This window comes from Homo sapiens, chromosome 20 (genome assembly GCF_000001405.40).
Source record: "Homo sapiens chromosome 20, GRCh38.p14 Primary Assembly".
Classification (NCBI taxonomy): Eukaryota; Metazoa; Chordata; class Mammalia; order Primates; family Hominidae; genus Homo; species Homo sapiens.
In genome coordinates, this window is record NC_000020.11 from 25,084,634 (window position 1) to 25,107,817 (window position 23,184).

General features: G+C 45.9%; 1 pseudogene, besides 1 other annotated feature; it reads left to right on the plus strand.

The window, feature by feature from the left end:
* VTCN1P1 (VTCN1 pseudogene 1) lies at positions 14,410–15,492 on the plus strand (annotated as a pseudogene).
* Positions 20,536–21,472: an enhancer, noted in NCBI's record as "H3K4me1 hESC enhancer chr20:25085805-25086741 (GRCh37/hg19 assembly coordinates)". NCBI's record gives its function as "activates a minimal SCP1, AML or CMV promoter by ChIP-STARR-seq in naive H9 embryonic stem cells {active_cell/tissue: H9 hESC(naive)}" and the evidence as "EXISTENCE:reporter gene assay evidence [ECO:0000049][PMID:30033119]".

Genomic DNA, 23,184 nt, shown 5'->3' on the forward strand with positions numbered 1-23,184 from the left:
GCAAGAGATAAAAAGCTAGCCCACGATCCACCCACAATCCTCGTGTCCCCGGGGTGCCCTCGCAGTTGCCAAACCTACGGGCCGCGTTTAGGGGAAGCCTCCGCGTCCTGGCGGCCAAAAGAATGGGCTCCTTCCAGCTTCCCCCTACCGGATACCACCTGCAAATCTATTGCCAGAGGCGCAGCTCCCGCGAACGTTCCCGCCCCGGGCGGCCCCCAGGAGTCGTTTTGGGTCCCTAAATCCGTTGAGGGTTCCGAATCTGTCTTCATCAGCCAGGATTACCCGGGATTTAACTAATGAATAAAGGTTCCTCAGCTCATTATTTTCTAAGGAAGATTTCCAGCCCCTCTGTCGCCGACCGCGAATGTGCCTTGGCAGCGCCAGGCTGAGGTTGGACCTGCTGTGAGTGGCTCAGCAGGCACCCCTCTTGGGCTTCTCAGAGCCGCGGCTGGCCAGGCTGGCGCGATAAAGTGCTCAGACACAATGGGGTGGGATGCCCCGAGAAGGTGAAACGGATCGCCCTGTGAGTCTGCAGAAATGACCCCCCACGGCTCCGTTCTTCTGATTTTCCTCCCACCTCTGGCTGCTCCATCTCGGATGCTTTTGTGTCTTCAGTTAAAAGTCCGGGCACAGTGGCTCACGCCTGTAATCTCAGCACTTTGGGAGGGCGAGGCGGGCGGATCACAAGGTCAGGAGTTCAAGACCAGCCTGACCAAAATGGAGAAACCCTGTCTCTACTAAAAATACAAAATTAGCCGGGCATGGTGATGCATGCCTGTAACCCCAGCTACTAGGGAGGCTGAGACAGAAGAATCGTTTGAACCTAGAAGGCGGAGGTTGCGGTGAGCTGAGATAGAGCCATTGCACTCCAGCCTGGGCAACAAGAGTGAAACTCCGTCTCCAAAAAAAAAAAAAAAAAAAAAAGTTGTGGCAGAGGCTGTTTGGCCCCACCCACCTCCAGCCTGACCCCTCCAACTGCACGCCTGCCCAGCCTCCAGTGCCCGCCACATCTTTACCTGGGGACTTTTCTCGACCTTCAGAGCTCACTCTGCCCACTAGCTAAAGGTGCCAATAATTAACACGTGGAGAAATGCGACACCAAACACTGACGGGAATTGCAATGTAAGCACCCCCCGCTACACACACACAAACACACCCCTGCACAGAGTGACTCTTAGAGGTGCCTTCTACTCCGCCTCCCAGAGATCCAAGCAGGAGGAGCTTTAGTTACTTGCTGATGATTGCATTCCATATTGCCTCGTATCTAAATGCTGTTGTGCCTACCCAGACCCCCTTTCCAGAACTGTCGCACCTTCTTCCAGCTGTTGTGAGTGTGGGGCCCTCGAATAGGAAGAATTGCCCTTGGCTGACAAAAGCCCCTTAATCCAGAGCCCCCCACCCCCTGACAAACACACACACTGTGTCATCAACTGACAGAGGGATGATAGGAGGCCTCTCCTCTCGTTTCAAAGGACAGCTCTGCAGAGGCGTTTCTGCTACAAGACCCTCTCCCTTCATGGATCAGACCAAGTCAGCTCCTTGCTCAGCTTGTTCCCACCCCATCTTGGCCCCTCATTCCTGAGACCTTGTCTCAATATCTCTCAGGCGCCCAGACCCTGTCCCTGGCTCTGCTTCTAGCCACCTGAGCTCAGACACTTCCTGTCTCCATCTCGCTTTTACCTGGGTGTTCCTGGAATGCTCAGCTCAAAGTCTACAGAGCCCTTCTTTCTTCTCAGGTGGAACCCCACGGGGCAATCACCATCTCCCTGCCCAGATCTCTGGAATCTTCTCCAATCTGGACCCCACTCTTGAAGCCCAGGCTGTTGTCTCAATGTACTCCTGCATGTCTGAACCAGTCTCCCGGGGCACTGAAATGCAACACACCCAGAGCTGAACACAGCAGCCTCCCCTGCAGCCTGCACCTCCCCAGGTCTCCTCTTCCTCCACCCCGGGGCCCACACAGAATCGAGTGTCATCCTCAGGCCCTCACTCTCCCCACAGGCTCTCCTCCCACGACTGAAAGTGATGAAGATGGCCAACCTCTCTTGGCTTCTTACTGGGGGGCAGCTATTATTATAAACACCTTATCACAATGGCCACATTTCATCCTGACCACAGCTCTATGGGTAGATAATATTATTGTCCACATGCTTCAGATGAGGAAGTGAAAATTTCAAGTGATTAAATAATTGCATAAATTGCCCAAGGTCACTCACTATCCAGTGGCAAAGACAGGATTTGAATACAAGCAGTGTCAGCTCACGGCCTAACTCTGACTGTGGGTGTCTTGCTGCCCTGCATCTCTCTTCAAACCCTCTCAAAGTGGCATCTTCTTTCCTTTGCCTGCTCTGATTTGACTGTGTGCCCTGAAGTTCGTGTGTTGTGCCTTAATCGCCAATGCAACAGTGTTGAGAGGTGGAGGCTTTAGGGAGTGATTAGGTCAGGAGGGCTCTGCCCTGAGGAGTGGATCAATACCATTGTTGCAGGAGTGGGTTAGTTATTGTGGGAATGGGTTAGTTATCGTGAGAGTGGGTTAGTGACCATGGGAGTGGGCACATGAGTTTGGCCCCTTCCCGCCCCCTCTTCTGCTCTTCCTCTCTCACCATGTGACACCTTCCACCATGTGATGTGGCAGCAAGAAGGCCCTCACCTGATGTGGTCCCTTGACCTTGAACTTCTTCCCAGTCTCCAAACCATGAGCCAAATAAACCTGTATTGTTTATGAATTACGCAGTCTGTGGTATTCTGTTACCGCAGCACAGAACAGACCATGACACCACCCATTGCCACAACATGGCTCAGACCAATTGCTCACTTGCTGGAGTGGAATTTATTTTTTAGTCTAGGGCTACTCAGTATACAAATGAGTTTCAGAGTACCCTAAAGAGGTGGCTTCTAAAAAAAAAAAGAAAGAAAGAAAGAAAAAAAACAGCAGGTAAAGTCCTCCTTGTCCCACTCCTTGGCAGTTCTGTGACCTTGACCCAGGGACAAAAGGAGAGGGAGGGTTTTCTGCAGCAGCAATGGTGGGTGTCCCGTGGCTACCCTGCATGCTATGGCACACTCACTGCTGTGCCCTGTGGTGACTTGGCCTTGTTCCCAGGTGCCTGGGCTGCACATCCCTGCCCTTCCTCTCCAGCTGTCCATCAGTCTGGGGAGGGGGTGTATGGGGGAGAAACAATGCCATTCAGTAAGGCTATTTTCTGTGTAAATTGGCTGGGTGACATTTCTGTGGTTTGCATCCAATAACCCTGTCTAGGGTGTATGGCCAGGGCTCTGCCCTCTGGAATCTCCTTCTACCTCCTTCATGCCCCTCCCCATACCCCACCACTGCCATCTTTATTCCACAGCCACAGTGATCCTTGCCTGAGCACAGCCTATTGCTCCCTACTGCAGTTTCCTCAATGGCTTCCCCTTGCCACATGGGCAATGCTAACTCCTAACTCCTTCCTGCTAGTGACTGAAGAAGTGATGGTATCACATGCCCAGCTCATCAGTGAACAAGCAGGCTCTTGAGAGTCAGCAATGTGGTATATCCTATAAAACTGACCCAGGGTGCGGAGATCAGGGTTGTCCATCCTCTCATCAGCCCCATGAGAGCACCAGCCCCCGAGTTCCCTTTCTTGGCTGGATGTTCCGGTTACTATTTTAAGGTAACACATTATCCCAAAACTCAGCTACTTACAAACCATTTCATTTTGGTCACAGTTTTGTGGCTCAAAAATCTGGGGAGAGCTCAGCAGGCCATTATCACTTAGAGCCCTCCTGTGGTTGCTGTCTGGGGTGGCAGTCATCTGAGGGCTCAACGGGGCTGTGCTGGGTGCTCAAGGCAGCCCGCTCACATGGCCCAGGCTGATTGGCCTTGTGGGCTCTCGGGGAGTTGGGAGCATCCCACAAGAACCAGGCAGATGCTGCACAGCCTTTGCTGGCCCTTCCACAGAAGTCAGAGCATTACTTCCATCACGTTCAGTCAGCGAGGCCATAGCATGAGTTTTGGGGGAGTGGCACTTCTGCTTTCATGGGCCCCTTCTTCCATAAAAATATTTAAAGTTGTATTTTGTGCCTATGTTGGCATAAAGGTGAATATAATCCAGTCTAGATTCATTATTGTATATTCTTTATTATTGTACTCATTTTTCCTTCTGATTTTAAAATATATTCAATGGCATTAGAAGCATAGGCCCTGGGCATTGTACCCAAGGCATTAGTGTGCACTGGCCCTGCTGACTGGTTTAAGCAGCCACAAGCCACCAGATTCAAGGACAGGACACAGATTCAAGGTGGGACACAGGACCCACCACATCGCACTTGCAGGGCCAGGCGCCAAGCAGTGCTCAGCCACCCATCAACGCCCAGCCCAAATGGTTCCTCACCGCAGAGCCTCCCCAGGTTTTCCTGCCCCAGCTGGAACAAAATCACTGCTGCACTCTTGAAGCACTTGATGCTCCTTTGGTCTTATTTTCTTATTCTTAAGTTCTTTTGTGTCTGTTCTCATCTCCTACCTGGCTCCAGGAGCCCAGAACTGAGTCTTTTCATTAACACATCCCCTGGACAAATGTTCTTTACCTTCCAGGACAGTGACTTCCCTGGTGGCCTCTGGAAGAGGCCTCCTTACTATGTGCCAGTGGTTCTCAAAGTGTGGTTCCCAAAAGTGGTTCTGGCCACCTGGGCATTGGCCAGAAAAACAAACTCTTGGACCCCATCCAGACCTCCAACATCAGAGACCTTGGGGAGACCCATGATCTGTGTGTTCACAAGCCCCCCAGAGGACCCTGAGCCCCACTCAAGTTTGAGAACCACATCTTCTATTAATGCTTCATGAACCATATATCCTGACTGGTTTTACAAATATGTTGTGGGTGCAGAAACACCCAGTTATTCTCAAATGCTCTGAGGAGCTATGAGGAAAGCTTGAGTTCAGCACTAAGATAATAGTCAGCACCAGACATGAGCTTAGGGAATCAGGAAATTGAGGTTCTAAAAGGAGAAGGAAAAAAGAAAAGAGAAAATTTTATTTTAAAATGTTACATATCAAAAAATACATTAGTGGGAAAACTCACAGCCACCATCGGTGGGGCCCTTGGTCTGCGCCAGGCACTGCAGAGCTTCTCACGAACCCATTCACTTACCACTTGTGACAGCTCTGATGAGGGAGGTCCTGTATCGTCCCCATTCTGTGGGTGAGAAAACGGAGGCCCAGAGCTGGGACCAGCCCAACAGCCAGGGGAGCGGTCAGGACCCAAATCCTGACGGTCAGGCTAGAAGCAGCGAAATCTCCACGGGGCCTGGTCTGTGGCTTAACCTTGGTTTTGTTCTTCATGTTGCAGCGCTTGGGATCTGGCGAGGTCTGACTCTTACACTGTTCCAACTGCTGTAGACGGATGGCATTATGGGCTTGAGGCAGATTTCCCAGAGGCTCACATGCCCCATGGCCGGTCTTTTCCCTTTAGGTCCTGAGACAATAGGAAAATCCTGGGTAGGAATCCAGGTAACACTTTGATTCCAAAGAACATACTTCTCTTCCTCCTTTTCCAGCCTCTTCACTGTCTCTCTCCTCTCCTCTCTTCTCTTCCTTAGCTTCTTCTGGTTAAGTTCCATCTGTAAGACAAAGGAACCCAGAGCCAAGTTAAGCTTAGGAGAGGACACACCATCCAGTCCCTGAGCTAAGCCCACCCTCGGACCCCACTGCAGAAAAGGTCATGAGCAGAGGGCACAGAAGGATCTGCCTCTCCTCCTCTCCCCCATGGCAGACAAAAGCAGGTGCACTGTGTGGACATCAAGAAGGTGAGAGGGAGGTGACATAGGCCACCCTAACCAGAAGGTCACACCTGGGCATGTGAGGGGCCGCTGAAGGACAGCCCAAGAGCTGCTGCTGAGCTTCATTTCTGGTATTAAACAAGCACTAGGTCATCTCTTGGCAATTGAGAAACCTGGCCAATGATAATGTGCTTTTAACCAGCTCATATTAGAAGTGAATGTGATCACTATCCCAGCTCACAGGTAGCACCGAGGCTCTAGGCAAAGGTCAGAACAACTCTGCCAGGGTGGCGTGACTGCGGGTTCCTGCCTCTGCTTGCTGGGGACCTACTTACTCCAAGGAGGCAGGCACCGGCCATGACCCTATTTGAAGGAGGTCTTTGCTCCTCCCTCTGTGCTCAACTCCCAGTCAGCTCCCTCCAAGGCATCCGCCACAATTGCAACCGTTCACTCACCTGCTGGTTTACTGCTTTACCCATCTGCCTTGCCGGATGCTGTAGCTGACAGTGCTGGCAGGCTGCCCTCCGGGTCGCCTGCAGCCTCTGTAGACAGTTCACACACACACCACAGCTTCCTGCCTGCAGCACCTGCCACTCGAGCGGAGGATGCCCCAAAGCCAGGAGTGCACCAGCTAGGACTGAAGTCCTGGGGGGCAGAGGGTGATGCCTCCAGCAGCCACTCTTGACAGATGACAGGGGTTGATGGATGATACCTGGCCAAGGGGTGCAATGATCCTGTGGTAGGAAAATCCCGAAGAGAAATCACCTTGCATAGTCACCCGAGGTCCTGGTGTGATTGAGCCTTGGGAAATGCCACTTGCTGTCACAGCTTCTCTGTGTCCCTGCCCCTCCCCTACTAGAACTTCCTGGGTTCCTCCCACATTACTTACTTCACTCAAATCCCTGTCTCAGAGTCTGCTGTGCAGAACCCAAGCCTAGACTGACCATAAGCTCCAGAGCAGGGCTGGGGCTGGCCTGGGGCCCCTGCATGCCAGGGCCCCGCACACTCCTGGTGCAGAGCCAGTGCTTAGTGAAGGTCTGCAGCGGGGGAACAGGCCATAAGATGGAGGAGTCTGAACCATATGCCTGTTGCCTGACGGGGTCTCCTGGGAGAAACTTAGCTCTTCCCCATTCACTCCACATTAGATCTGGAGTCCTCTCCCCAGTCCTGTCCCCATGCTCAAGGCCTGGTCCAAGGAAGGTTGGCTGGGAGCATGTCATCCACTGTAACCTGAGTGCTCAAGAGGAAAGAAAGGCGCCCCAACATCAGACTCTCACAGCCCAGCCCTGGGACTGCCCTCCTGCAGGAAGAAGCTGAATATTTTACAAAATACTAGAAGAAGAGGCTGAGAAATTTACAAACCTGTTTCACTCACCGGTTTCAACAAAAGTGTGGAAATGAATGTCACTGAGCTGCCACCCTGAAACTGCTTTGTTTGTGCTGAGTTTTCACTGATGAAGGCTAGCAGAAGCGGCAGCATGGCTAGGGCACCTTGGGGACTCTGGCAGGGTTGGCTGCAGCAGCCATCTGTGTGGACCCAGTACCTCCAGTCCATCACCCTGAGTGGAGGGTTGCAGCATGCTTGTCTGATTACTGACTCTTCTTCTAGCTCACTCCCCCTAACACACTAATAACCGGACATGCTCAGATCGGTCAGAGAAATGCTCATGAAAGAGTGGAGGAAGAGAAGGAGAAATCAGAAAGGAGAGGGTACAACAATGAAGAAGACCCATCCATCGCAGACACTGGCCACCACATGCATTAAATCAGCCCTTCCTGGACACAACAAAGGCCACTATCCTAAGTTCAGCTCCCTGTAGAGACAGGAAATGGCAAATGCTGAGACATTTTATTCCTAAACTACCGTTATAGTCAAGTCTTTTGTCTGCCAAAGGGGAAAGGATTCTGCAGTGGTTTATGCTCTTCATCCTCTCACACACTTAGAGGAACTTTGAGTACATACTTCCCATACTGCTGAGCATACATCTTCGGGTCCTGAGGGTTCTTGTCTTTCATTTCAAGTAGGAGGTAAATTTTAGAGTGCCCTGGCCAAGGAGGGAGCCCATTCAGATGGTTGCAAGGAAGTGGGGGGCCTTCGAATTTTATTTTTGGTTTACATAATACTTCAGATGCATGCACCTAACAACAGAGTATCAAAACACAGGAAGCGAAAACTGATAGAACAGCAAGGAAAATATAAGCTATATAAAATTCTTTACTGCATTAATAGTTGGAGACTTCAACGCTCCTTTATCAGTAATTGATAGATCTAGTGGGCATAAAATCAGTAAGGGTATAGTAAGGAACAGCACCATTTATCACTGGATCTAACTGACGTCTATAGAGTACTTCATCCAACAACAGCAGAATACATATTTTTCTCAAGATCACATGGAACATTCATCAAATAGGCCATATTCGAGGCCATAACACATACCTTAACAAATTTAAACGAATAGAAATTATCCAAAATATGTTCTCAGAGCACAGTGGAATTAAACTAGAAGTCAAAAACAGAAATCTACCAGAAGCTGAAAAAAAAATCCCCAAATATATGGAGATTAAGCAATGTACTTCTATTTTACATAAGAATTAAAGAAGAAGTCTCAAGAAAAATTAAAAAGTATTTTTAACTTAATGAAAATAAAAATACAACTTACCAAATGTGTGGAATGCAGTGAAAACAGTGCTTAGAGGAAAATATGTAACATTAAATTCATTTGCTAGAAAAGAAGGAAGGGCCGGGCGCAGTGGCTCATGCCTGTAATCCCAGCACTTTAAGGGCCAAGGCGGGTAGATCACCCGAGGTCAGGAGTTCGAGACCAGTCTGGCCAACATGGGGAAACCCCATCTCTACTAAAAATATAAAAATCAGCTGGGCATGGTGGTGCACGCCTGTAGTCCCAGCTACTTGGGAGGCTGAGGCAGGAGAATAGCTTGAACCTAGGAGGTAGAGGTTGCAGTGAGCCAAGATGGTACCATTGCACTCCAGCCTGGGTGACAGAGTAAGACTCTGTCTCCCAAAAAAAAAAAAAAGAAAAGAAAAGAAGGAAGCTCTTAAATCAATCATCCAATCTTCCAACTTAGGAAATTAGAAAAAAAGAAGGGCAAATTGAATCAAAAGTAGATATAAGAAAATAAATTTTAAAATTAGAGAATAATTCAATAAAATGGAAAGTAAGAAATCATTAGAAAAAATAAATGAAACCAAAAGCTGATTCTTTGAAAAGAACAATAAAATCAGTAAACCTCTATTCTGGCTAAGTGAAAAAGAAAGAGATACAAATTGCTCATACTGTAAATAAAAGAAGGGTCATCACTGCTGATCCCATGAACATTAAAAAGATAATAAGGAAGTATTATAAACAAATATATGTATACAGTTGATAAGCTGGATGAAATGGATCAATTTTCTGAAAGACACAAATTACCAAAACTCACAAAAAGAGAAATAGATATTCTAAGTAGGTCTATATCTACTAAAGAAATTAAATTAATAAGTAATAGCCCTCAAAAAATAAAGCACTAAAGACCAGGTTATTTCACTGGTTGCTTCCACCAAACCATTTAAGGAAAAAATAATACGAATTCTCAAAGTCTCTTCCAAAATATAAAAACAAAGGGAATTCTTCCTAACTCATTCTATGAGGCCAACATTACACTAACACCAAAACTAGATAAAGACATTACAGGAAAGGAAAAATACAAACCAGTATCTCTCATGAACATAGATGCCAAAATCATCATCAAAATATTAGCAAATTAACCCAAAAGTGTATAAAAAGAATTATGCCAGGGACAGTGGCTCACGCTTGTAATCCCAGCAACTCAGGAGGTTAAAGTGGGAGGATTGCTTAAGGCCAGGAATTAGAGACCAGCTGGGCAACATAGAAAGACCCCTGTATCTAAAAATAAAAATAAATTCAATAGCGAGCCATGGTGCTGTATGCCTTTAGTCCCACTACTAGGGAGGCAAAGGCAGGAAGATCCTTTGAGCCTAGGAGTTCATGACTCCTAGCTATGACTAGAGCTATGACTGTGCCACTGTACTCCAGCTTGGGTGACAGATTTAATCCCAGGTATGCAAGCCTGGTTCTACATTTAAAAATCAATCAATGTGGCCAGAAGCAGTGGCTCATGCCTGTAATCCCAACACTTTGGGAGGCCAAGGCAGGCGGATCACTTGAGGTCAGGAGTTCAAGACCAGCCTGGCCAACATGGTAAAACCCCATCTCTACTAAAAAGATACAAAACTTACCTGGGCATGGTGGCAGGTGCCTGTAATCCCAGCTACTCAGGAGGCTGAAGCAGGAAAATTGCTTGAACCTGGAAGTCGGAGGTTGCGGTGAGTCAGGATCACACCACTGCACTCCAGCCTGGGCAACAGAGCGAGACTCTGTCTCAAAAAAAAAAAAAAATCAGCTAATGTAATCTATCACATAGAAATGAAGAAATCATATTGTCATATTTTCAAATGCAGAAAAAATGACAAAATCTAACACCCATTCAAGATAAAGAAAAAAATCCTCTCAGAAAACTAGGAATAGAGGAAGACTTTCTCAACTTGATAAAGAACATCTACAAAAAACCTACAACTCCACAAAACAACCAGAAAACAACAAAATGGCAGGACTAAGTTCTTACTTATCAATAATAACATTGAATGCAAATGGACAAAACTCTCTAATAAAAAGATATAGAGTGGCTCAACGAATTAAAAAACAAGACCTACAAGAAACACATTTAGTCCATAAAGACACACATAGACTGAAAATAAAGAAATGGACAAAGATATTGCATGCCAATGGAAACAAAAAAGAGCAGGAGTGGCTATGCTTATATCAGACAGAATAGATTTCAAGATAAAAACTATAAGAAAAGACAAAGTAGCTCACTGCATAGTAATAAAGGGGTCAGTTCAGCAAGAAGATATAAAAATTGTAAATATATATGCACTTAACTTTGGAGCACCCAGATATATAAAGAAAATATTATTAGAGCTAAAGAAAGAGATAGGCCCCAGTACAATAACAGTTAGAGAATTCAACCCCCCACTTTCAACATTGGATAGGTCTTCCAGACAGAAAATCAGCAAAGAAACATCAGACTTAATCTGCACTACAGAAAAAATTGACATAGGAAGTGGAGATCATTATGTTAAGTGAAAACTGCTCCCATGTTTTCAGGTATCTTTATAGCAATGCCCCACGTCTCTGGTACCAATTTTCTGTATTAGTCCATTATCACACTGCTCTAAAGAACTACCTGAAACTGGGTAATTTATTTTAAAAAGAGGTTTAGTTGACTCGCAGTTCCACAGGCTATGTAGAAGGCATGGCTGGAGAGGCCTCAGAAAACTTACAATCATGATGGAAGAGTGAATGGGAAGCAAGTATGTCTTCACAGGGTGGCAGGAGAAAGAGAGAGAGAGGGTGAAGGGGAAGTGCTATACACTTTAAACAATCAGATATCATGAGAACTCACTCACTATCATGAGAAGAGCCAGGGGAAAATCTTCCCCCATGATCCAATCACCTCCCACCAGGTCCCTTCCTCAACACTGGAGATTACAATTCAACATGAGATTTGGATGGGGATAGAGAACTAAACCATGTCACCCATAAATGTATACATCTACTATGTACCGACAAAAATTAAAAATAAATTTTTTAAAAACCTACAGCTAACATCATACTTAGTGGTGAGGAACTAGATGCTGTCCCCTTAATTTTGGGTAAAAGGTAAGAATGTCCCCTGTCACCACTCCTATTCAATATCATACTGGACGTCCTAGTCAATGCAATAAGAAAAGAAAAGGCATACAAATTGGGAGGGAAGAAATAAAACTTTCTTTGCAGATGAAATGATTGTCTATGTAGAAAATTTCAAAGCATCAAGAAAATAAACTCCTGAAGCTAATACACCATCGTAGCAAGGTGGCAGGATACAAGAGTAATAGGCAAAGTTAAGTGCTGTCTTATATAGCACCAATGAGTAAATGGGATTTCAAATTAAAAATATAACACATTTACATTAGCACAAATAAATGAAATATTTATACCTAAATGAAATGTTTAGGTATAAATCTCAGAAAATGTGTACAGAATCTATATGAGGAAAACTATAAAACTTTGATGAAAGAAATCAAATATCTAAATAAATGGAGAGATATCCATGTTCATGAATATGAAGACTAAATATTGTTAAGATGTCAATTCTTCCTAACTTAATCTATAGATTCAAAACTATCCCAATCAAAATCCCAGCAAGTTGCTTTGTGGATATCAACGAAGTAATTCTAAAGTTTGTGTGGGAAGGTAAAAGACTCATAAAAGCCAACACAGTTGCATTGGCTGAAATAGAACAAGGCCAGAGGACTGACACTACCTAATTTCCAGCCTTGCTATAAAGCTACAGTAATAAAGCCAAAATGGTATTCATGAAAGAAGAGACACATAGGTTAATGGAACAGAACAGAAAGCCTAGGAGTGGACCTACCTAAATATATTCAACTGATCTTAACAAAGACAATTTACTGGAGACAGGATAAGTTTTTCAGCAAATGATGTGGGAATAATTAACACCCACAGTCAAAAAAATAACGTTACACCTTATCCAAAAAATAACTCAAGATGAATCATAGACCTAAATGTAAAATGCAAAACTATAAAACTCCTAGATGATAATTTAGGAAGAAATCTAAATGATCTTGGATTTGGTGATGACTTTTTAGATACAACCCCAAAAGTACAATCCATGGCAAAAATAATTGACGTTAGACTTTATTAAAATTAAAAATATCTGCTCAGTGATACACATTGTTAAGATAATGAAAAGACAAGACACAGACTGGGAAAAAATATTTGCAAATCACAGATCTGTTAAAGGTCTTGTATTCAATATATAGAAAGAACTCTTAAAATTCAACAAGAAAACAAGCGACCCAGTTTTTAAGTGGGCAAAAGATCTGAACAGACACTTATGAAAGAAGATATCCAGATGGCAACAATTATATGAAATGATGCTCAACATCATATGTCATTAAGGAACTTCAGATTAAAATAATGAGATAACACTACACGCTGATCACAATGATGAAAACCCAAAACACTCACAACACCAAATGCTGATGGGAATGTGGAGCAACAGGAACTCTCATTCATTGCAGGGAATGCAAAATGGTGTAGCCAGCTTGGAGGACGTGTGGCTGTTTGTTCCAAAGCTAAACAGAGTCTCACCATGTGGTCCAGCAATCACACGCCTTGCTGTTTACTCAATTGAGTTGATAATTTATGCCCTCACAAGAACCTGCATAGGAATGTTGATAGCAGCTTTTTCCTAGTAGCCAAAAACTGAAAGCAATCAAGATGCTCCCTCAATTGATGAATATATAAACAAATCCAGGCAATGGAATCTCATTCAGTGATAAAAAGAAGTGAGTTATCTAGCCAAGAAAAGACATGGAGCAACCTCATATGCAATGCATGTTGGTAAATAAAAGACACTAAAGTGACACATAAGTGACATACTTATTGTATGATTCCAACTATGGGACATTTTGGAAAAGGCAAAACAATGCAGACAGTAAAAAGATCTGTGGTTGCCAGGAATTTGGAGGGAGGAAGGGAGAGATGAATAGGCAGAATGCAGAGGACTTTTAGGACAATGAAAGTGTTGTATATGATGCTATAATGGTGGATACACAACATTATACATTTGTCTAAACCCATAGAATGTACAACATAGCCAGGCACAGTGGCTCATGCTTATAAACCCAAAGCTTTGGCAGGCCAAGGTGGGAAGATTACCTGACCCAGGAGTTCGAGACCAGCCTGGGCAACATAGTGAGACCTCATCTCTACAAAAAATTTTTAAAAAAATAATATACAACACAAACGATGAACCCTAATGTGAACTGCAGACTTTAGTTAATAATGTACCAATATTGGTTCATTGGTTATAACAAATGTAGCACACCACTGCAAGATGCTAATAATAGGGGAAGCTGTGGAGGAGGAGGGGTGTATTGGCAACTCTCTGTACTTTCTGCTCAATTTTTAAAAATAAAGAAAAAGTCTGGTTGCTAAAGCTGGCAAGGTCCACAAAGCAGTTCTTCTCACCACTCTGGTTTTTACCCTTTATTTGTGGCCACTGAAAATTCCCCTTAAGTGATGAGAGATAAGCTGTGACTTTAAAAGGTCACGTATGACATCCAAGTTCAAGAAGCATGGTATTGCAGCCTAGACTCTGTGCTCCCTGATTCCTCCAGAAAAGCACAAGGATTTAATCCAGATAGATATAAATTTCACCTGGGATCATTTATCAGTCCACCTTCTTCTTTAAGAAATATGCTAGGCCGGGAGCGTTCGCCCACGCCTATAATCCCAGCACTTTGGGAGGCCGAGGCAGGTGGATCAAGAGGTCAGGAGATCAAAACCATCCTGGCTAACACGGTGAAACCCAGTCTCTACTAAAAAATACAAAAAAATTAGCCGGGCGTGGTGGCGGGCGCCTGTAGTCCCAGCTACTCAGGAGGCTGAAGCAGAATGGCGTGAACCCGGGAGGCGGAGCTTGCAGTGAGCAGAGATCGCGCCACTGCACTCCAGCCTGGGAGACAGAGTGAGACTCTGTCTCAAAAAAAAAAAAAAAAAGAAAAAGAAATATGCTAAAGAGCCGCAGATTGGGTCTTCATGAAAACAAAGAAAAAGCCATGAAGTTTCTACAGCATAATTAGCATCATCATTACTCTGGCTGGAGCAATTGCACTCATCATTGGCTTTCGTATTTCAGGGAGACACTCCATCACAGTCACTACTCTCACCTCAGCTGGGAACATTGGGGAGGATGGAATCCTGAGCTGCACTTTTGAACTTGACATCAAACTTTCTGATATCATGATACAATGGCTGAAGGAAGGGGTTATAGGCTTGGTCCATGAGTTCAAAGAAGGCAAAGATGAGCTGTCAGAGCAGGATGAAATGTTCAGAGGCCTGACAGCAGTGCTTGCTGATCAAGTGATAGTTGGCAATGCCTCTCTGCAGCTGAAAAACATACAACTCACAGATGCTGGCACCTACAAATGTTATATCATCACTTCTAAAGGCAAGGGGAATGCTAACCTTGAGTATAAAACTGGAGCCTTCAGCATACCAGAGGTGAAAGTAGACTATAATGCCAACTCAGAGACCTTGCGATGTGAGGCTCCCTTATGGGTCTCTCAGCCCACAGTGGTCTGAAGATCCCTAGTTGACCAGGGAGCCAAATTCTCAGAAGTCTCCAATACCACCTTTGGGCTGAACTCTGAGGATGTGGCCATGAAGGTTGTGTCTGTGCTCTACAATGTTACGATCAACAACACATACTCCTGTATGATTGAAAATGACATTGCCAAAGCAACAGGGGATATCAAAGGACAGAATCTGAGATCAAAAGGCGGAGTCACCTACAGCTGCTGAACTCAAAGTCTTCTCTGTGTGTCTCTTCTTTTTTTGCCATCAGCTGGGCACTTCTGCTTCTTGCCCCTTACCTGATGCTAAAATAATGTGACTCGGCCACAAAAAAGCATGCAAAGTCATCGTTACAACAGGGATCTACAGAACTATTTTGCCACCAGATATGACCTAGTTTTATATTTCTGGGAGGAAGTGAATTCATATCTAGAAGTCTGGAGTGAGCAAACAAGAATAAGAAACAAAAAGAAGCCAAAAGCAGAAGGCTCCAATATGAACAAAAATAATCTATCTTCAAAGACATATTAGAAGTTGGGAAAATAATTCATCTGAACTAGACAAGAGTAATAAGTAAAATGCACGAGGAGACAAGTGCATCCCCAGATCTCAGGGACCTCCCCCTACCTATCAACTGGGGAGTGAGAGGATAGGATAGTGCGTGTTCTTTGTCTCTGAAATTTTAGTTATATGTGCTGTAATGTTGCTCTAAGAAAGCTCCCAGAAAGTCTCTATCCCAATATATACACATCTTATATTCCATGAATTAAGCTGTAGTGTATATTCTAAGATGCTGCTAATTGACTGCCACTTTGCAACTCAGGGACGGCTGCATTTTAGTAATGGGTCAAGTGATTCACTTTTCATGATGCTTCCAAAGGTGCCTCAGTTTCTCTTCCCAACTGAAAAATGCCAAAGATAAGAAAAATGATCATAATTTTAGCATAAACAAACCAGTCTGTGACACCGATTTTATAAGTAAACTGAGCACCATCTTTTCAAACAAATGCGGGTTTATTTCTCAGATGATGTTCATCTGTGAATGCTCCAGGGAAGGACCTTTCACCGTGACTATGTGGCATTATGTCATCACAAGCTCTGAGGCTTCTCCTTTCCATCCTGCGTAGATAGCTATGACCTCAGTTTTCAATAGCATCTAGAGCAGTGGGACTCAACTGGGGAGATTTTCGCCCCCCATCCCCGGGGGAATGTCTGAAGACAATTTTGGTTGCCACAATGAGGGAGTGGAGGAGGAGACGGTGCTACTAGCATCTAGTGGGTAGAGGCCAGGGATGCTGCTCAACCTCCTACCATGTACAGGACGTCTCCCCATTACAATTACCCAGTCCCAAGGGTCAACTGTGTCAGGGCTAAGAAACCCTGATTTAGAGTAGAAAAGGGCCTAGCAAGAGGGGAACAAACAAGTCTGTCTGCTTCCTCACATTAGTCATTGGCAAATAAGCATTCTGTCTCTTTGGCTGCTGCCTCAGCACAGAGAGCCAAAACTCTATCGGACACCAGGATAACATCTCTCAGAGAACAGAGTTGACAAGGCCTGTGGGAAATGCCTGATGGGATTATCTTCAGCTTGTTGCGCTTCTAAGTTCCTTTCCCTTCATTCTACCCTCTAAGCCAAGTTCTGTAAGAGAGCTGCCTGAGTTCTACCTCAAGTTTTCTTACTCTGAATTTAGATCTCCAGACCCTGCCTGGCCACAGTTCAAATTACGGCAACAAACATATACCTTCCATGAAGCACACAGAGACTTTTGAAAGCAGGGACAATGACTGTTTGAATTGAGGCCTTGAGGAATGAAGCTTTGATGGAAAAGAATGCTTTGTTTCCAGCCCCCTTCCCACACTTTTCGTGTCTTAACCACTGCCTTCCTGGCCCTTGGAGCCACCGTGTCTGTGTTACATTTTGTTATAGAAAACTAGCTTTGGAGTTCTGATCGTTCAAGAGAATGATTAAATATATATTTCCTTAAAAAAAGGACACATAGATTTTGTTTAGCATTTCTAGAGAAAGTTTTCAGTTTAACCAGTTCACAAATACTATTAAAAATGGAAATCAAATACTCTCCTTCAGATAAAATTTTCAAGATGCTTCTGGTTGCAAGCATCAAAACCAACTGTGACTGATTTAGGCAAAAGGGGAATTTATTGGCTTGTGGAATGGCCTGTTAGTCAATTTGCATTGCTACAAAGGAATATCTGAGACTGGGCAATTTATAAAGAAATGAAGTATCTTGTTTTGTTTTGTTGTTGTTTTTTGTTTTTGTTTTTGTTTTGTTTTGTTTTTTGAGACATAGTCTCACTCCGTCACCCAGGGTGGAGTGCAGTGGCATGATCTCGGCTCACTGCAACCTCCACCTCCCAGGTTCAAGCAATTCTTCTGCCTCAGCCTCCCAAGTAACTGGGATTACAGGCACCCACCACCCAAACCCAGCTAAATTTTTTTTGTATATTTAGTAGAGACGAGGTTTCACCATGTTGGCCAGCCTGGTCTCAAACTCCTGACCTCAGGTGATCCACCCGCCTCGGCCTCCCAAAGTGCTGGGATTACAGGCATAAGCCACCATGCCTGGCCAAGAAATGAGTTTTACTTGGCTCTTGATTCTTCATTTATACAAGCATGGCACGGGCATCTGCTTGGCTTCTGGTGGGGCCTCAGGAAGCTTTTAGTCATGGCAGAAGGTGAAGCAGGAGCCAGTGTATCACAAAGTAAGATGGGGAGCAAGACAGAGAGGGAGGGGATGCCAGCCTCTTTTAAATAACCAGATCCCATGTGAACTCATAGAGAACTCACTCATCACCAGGAGGAGAGCACCAAGCCATTCATGAGGCATCCCCACCATAACCCAAACACCTCCCACTAGGCTCCACCTCCAACACCAGAGATCCCATTTCAACAGGAGATTTGGAGGGGACAAAACATCCAATCTATGTCAAATGGGACCCCATATGTGATAACTGAGAAGAGATCATAGTGCAGCTGAACCTTCAGAAACAATTGTGGGGAACCCCCCCCTCCTTTGGCTCCATGTCTAGGGGCCACAGGCTCTGCCTCACTGAAGCATGTTCTCTGCTATCCTGCAGAGCAGTGCCCCACATGGGCTCTGTGCCCAGGAAGGACACTGTTGGGGCCACACACTCGCCCCTATGGGCCCTCTGGAGGGAGGGAGCATTTGGAGGAAGAGACAGCCACTGCAGGCACAGAGTGTATTGTGTCCACACTTTCACCTCTTTTCTACCTCCTATGTGTTGTGATGAAACTGTCCTGGAGAGAGAAGGAAAGGTGATGGATTTAGCCAGGGCACTGTGGTCACAGCACATTGCAGGAGTGCAGGAGGCTGTAGAGTCAAAGGCAGAGAGGCTGGTCTGCCCACAAAACGAGAGGCCCTGGCACTGGAGCTCAGGAGCTAGAGGTGCTGACCACTTCTTGACAGAGCAGGAGTTTCGCCATCTTGGACAAGCACTGTCATTTTAAAGTTCACGTTAATCAAAAACCACCTAAATCCAAGGGGCAGCAGCCTAACGGCTAAGGTCAACATGACCATAAACCACAAATAACATCTCTGATGAGAAACATTCCAAACTCCTCTCTGACCAGAGATATGCTAGCCCCAAGATAAGCCCCCTCCGGCCAGGAAGATGTCAGCCCCAAGGTAACAGACATTCCGACCCCATCATAAACTTCTCCCCACACAGAAACATTCTAAGTTTGTAATAAGCCCCATCACCCTAAAACCAATATATACTTAGTCTGTAAGAGAAAGCACTCCTGACCAAAATCACCCAGAAGCCCCTCTCGGATTTTTTTTCTTAAATAAACCTGTGTTTAACTGTTAAGCTGTGTTTCATGTTTCTTTCCTCTTTAACTCTTACACTTCTCTTCTAGCTTTGCTCCGCAGAGAGGCGGGCTGGGATGCCCAGGGTAGTGCAGGGGTAGGACACCTCTATCAGTAGTTCTACCGAGACACCATGAAAGCAGGCCGTGTCCCCAAAGAGAAATGCAGGTGGCCCCAAAAGAAGGAGGAAGGATTGCTGGGCAGGCAGAGATGACAGATGGGGTTTCAGAAGGACAGGGCCACTGCCAGGGCCAGGAATTAGGCAAGAGAAGGAATCTCTCTCCTGGTATAAAACTAGACAATGCTGTGTCCACATCACATGATGAGACCTGTTCAAAAGAACTAATGGGGAAATAGCCTGGAGCTCTCCTAGAGGGACAATGAACCTGAATCAGAGTTAGGAAAGGGCCAGAGCACAACTTTCCCCAACCCCAAGGCATAGCACAGAGCCCAGCCTCCTCCTTCCCCAGTGATGAGGCCAGAGCCCAGCCTCCTCCTTCCCCAGTGGTGGGGCCACAGCCCAGCCTCCTCCTTCCCCAGTGGTGGGGCCACAGCCTAGCCTCCTCCTTCCCCAGTGGTGGGGCCACAGCCTAGCCTCCTCCTGCCCCAGAGACGGGGCCAAAGCTCAGCCTCCTCCTTCCCCAACCGCAGGGCTGGGGAATTGCCCCAGGCCATCCACCTCGGAGTCAGCAAAGTCTAAGCAAATATCTCCTTTGCGTCCAGTGGGTACTGGAGGTTGGCAAGACCCAGAGAGGAGTACCTCTGTCACCTGGGGGACTGAGGAGGGTGGAGGGAATGGGAAAGGGGGGGCTGTTGAGACAGGAGGGCTGCTCAGGGACCCCTCCTCTGTCCTTTCCACCACACACAGCTTTCCTGAGGTCCTTCGACTTCTGGGTGAAGACTTTCATGCTCTCATGGGACATGGGCCAAGGGAGCATTTGGGGAGCACTTGTGTGGGGGTGGGGCTCAGGCACAAATGGGGTTAGAAGGGCATGGGCCTATGGACTGTCCAGGGCCTTGTGGGTCAGGAAGACCACCGGCATGAAGACCCTCCAGTCTCGAGACTAAAAGCCATTCCCTGCAGGGCTCAGCTGGAAACTAAGGAGCCCCATCGCCACTCTCCACGGCCTCCCATTGTAATGGCTGCTGCTTGCTCGGTAACCAGGAGAGCACAGGCAATGTGGGACTCAGCAAGAGGAACCGGGGGCTGGAGAGGACCCATCTCCGATGTTCTGAGCTTCCACTACCACATGACTGGCAGCTGTGCTGCCCCTATAGGCTCCACACCTTGAACCCTTGCCTGCTGCCCTCCTTCCCCTCCACAGCCAGGCTGCCTGCTGCATCTGCAGCCACATAGTGGGTGGCCTCATCCCGGTGGGTGAGACCAGAGCTCAGAGAGGCTCGGTGCTTCCTGCAGTCACAAGGTGAGTGGGGCCTGGCTGTCTCCATCCTGAGGCTGTGTTCTCTCTGTGACACTCAGCTTCTCCCACTCCCCAACTGAGGATTAGTCATCAGTAGGGCCACCTTCAGCTTCTCCTGAGTCCCAATAGCAGGGAGCCCAGAAGTAATGTGGTGTTGTTTAAGCCACTGTAGTCTGGAATGGCTTTTGACATAGCAATACATCACTGAAAGAGTTCACGTTTTAAATAGTTACAAAGAATATTCCCAGCACACTGTCCATATGAAGAGCTTTAAGTGAAATTATTAGAGTGCTCTTTTTAAATAAAAGGCAATTTGATGCCCACCATCATCCACTTTAGAAAATGCATTAACAAACATTTCCTGGAGAAGTTCCAAGATGGCCAAATAGGAACAGCTCCAGTCTATAGCTCCCAGCGTGAGCAACACAGAAGATGAGTGATTTCTTCATTTCCAATTGAGGTACCGGGTTCATCTCACTGGGGCTTGTCAGACAGTGGGTGCAGGACAGTGGGTGCAGCCCAAGGAACGTGAGCCAAAGGAGGGCGAGGCATCACCTCACCCGGGAAGTACAAGGGGTCGGGGAATTCCCTTTCCTAGCCAAAGGAAGCCGTGACAGATGGCACCTGGAAAATTGGGTCACTCCCACCCTAATAGTGTGCTTTTCCAATGGTCTTAGCAAATGGCACACCAGGAGATTATGTCCCGTGCCAGGCTTGGAGGGTCCCATGCCCACGGAGCCTCGCTCATTGCTAGCACAGCAGTCTGAGATTGAACGGCAAGGTGGCAGCAAGGCTAGGGGAGGGGCACCCGCCATTACTGAGGCTTGAGTAGGTAAACAAAGCACCGGGAAGCTTGAACTGGGTGGAGCCCACCACAGCTCAAGGAGGCCTGCCTGCCTCTGTAGACTCCACCTCTGGGGGCAGGACATAGCTGAACAAAAGGCAGCAGAAACTTCTGCAGACTTAAACGTCCCTGTCTGATAGCTTTGAAGAGAGTAGTGTTTCTCCCAGCATGGAGTTTGAGATCTGAGAACGGACAGACTGCCTCCTCAAGTGGGTCCCTGAACCCCTAGTAGCCTAACTGGGAGGTACCTCCCAGTAGGGGCCGACTGACACCTCACACGGCCAGGTGTCCCTCTGAGACGAAGCTTCCAGAGGAACAATCAGGCAGCAACATTTGCTGTTCTGCAATATTCACTGTTCTGCAGCCTCTGCTGGTGATACCCAGGCAAACAGGGTCTGGAGTGGACCTCCAGCAAACTCCAACAGACCTGCAACTGAGGGTCCTGACTGTTAGAAGGAAAACTAACAAACAGAAAGGACATCCACACCAAAACCCCATCGGTACATCACCATCATCAAAGACCAAAGGTAGATAAAACCAAAAAGATGGAGCGAAACCAGAGCAGAAAAGCTGAAAATTCTAAAAATCAGAACACCTCTTCTCCTCCAAAGGAACGCAGCTCCTCGCCAGCAATGGAACAAAGGTGGACAGAGAATGACTTTGACGAGTTGAGAGAAGAAGGCTTCAGACGATCGGTAATAAAAAACTGCTTCGAGCTAAAGGAGGATATTCGAACCCATTGCAAAGAAGCTAAAAACCTTGAAAAAAGATTAGACGAACGGCTAACTAGAATAAACAGCATAGAGAAGACTTTAAATGACCTGATGGATCTGAAAACCATGGCATGAGAACTACGTGATGCATGCACAAGCTTCAGTAGCCAATTCGATCAACTGGAAGAAAGGGTATCAGTGATTGAAGATCAAATGAACGAAATGAAGCAAGAAGAGAAGTTTAGAGAAAACAGAGTAAAAAAGAAATGAACAAAGCCTCCAAGAAATATGGGACTATATGAAAAGACCAAATCTACATTTGATTGGTGTACCTGAAAGTGACGGGGAGAATGGAACCAAGTTGAAAAACACTCTTCAGGATATTATTCAGGAGAACTTCTCCAACTTAGCAAGGCAGGCCAACATTCAAATACAGGAAATAAAGAGAATGCCACAAAGATACTCCTCGAGAAGAGCACCTCCAAGACACATAATTGTCAGATTCACCAAAGTTGAAATGAAGGAAAAAATGTTAAGGGCAGACAGAGAGAAAGGTCGGGTTACCCACAAAGGGAAGCCCATCAGACTAACAGTGAATCCCTCAGCAGAAACTCTACAAGCCAGAAGAGAGTGGGGGCCAATATTCAACATTCTTAAAGAAAGGAATTTTTCACCCAGAATTTCATATCCAGCCAAACTAAGCTTCATAAGTGAAGGAGAAATAAAATCCTTTACAGACAAGCAAATGCTGAGAGATTTTGTCACCACCAGGCCTGCCTTACAAGGGCTCCTGAAGGAAGCACGAAACATGGAAAGGAACAACCAGTACCAGCCACTGCAAAAACATGCCAAATTGTAAAGACCATTGATGCTAGGAAGAAACTGCATCAACTAATGAGCAAAATTACCAGCTAACATCACAGTCACAGGATCAAATTCACACATAACAATACTGACCTTAAATGTAAATGGGCTAAATGCCCCAATTAAAAGACACAGACTAGCAAATTGGATAAAGAGTTAAGAACAATCAGTGTGCTGTAGTCAGGAGACCCATCTCACATGCAGAGACACACATGGGCTCAAAATAAAGGGATGGAGGAAGATATACCAAGCAAATGGAATACAAAAAAAAAAAGCAGGGGTTGCAATCCTAGTCTCTGATAAAACAGACTTTAAACCAACAAATATCAGAAAAGACAAAGAAGGTCATTACATAGTGGTAAAGGGATCAATTCAATAAGAAGAGCTAACTATCATAAATATATATGCACCCAATACAGGAGCACCCAGATTCATAAAGCAAGTCCTAAGAGACCTACAAAGAGACTTAGACTCCCGCACCATAATAATGGGAGACTTTAACACCCCACTATC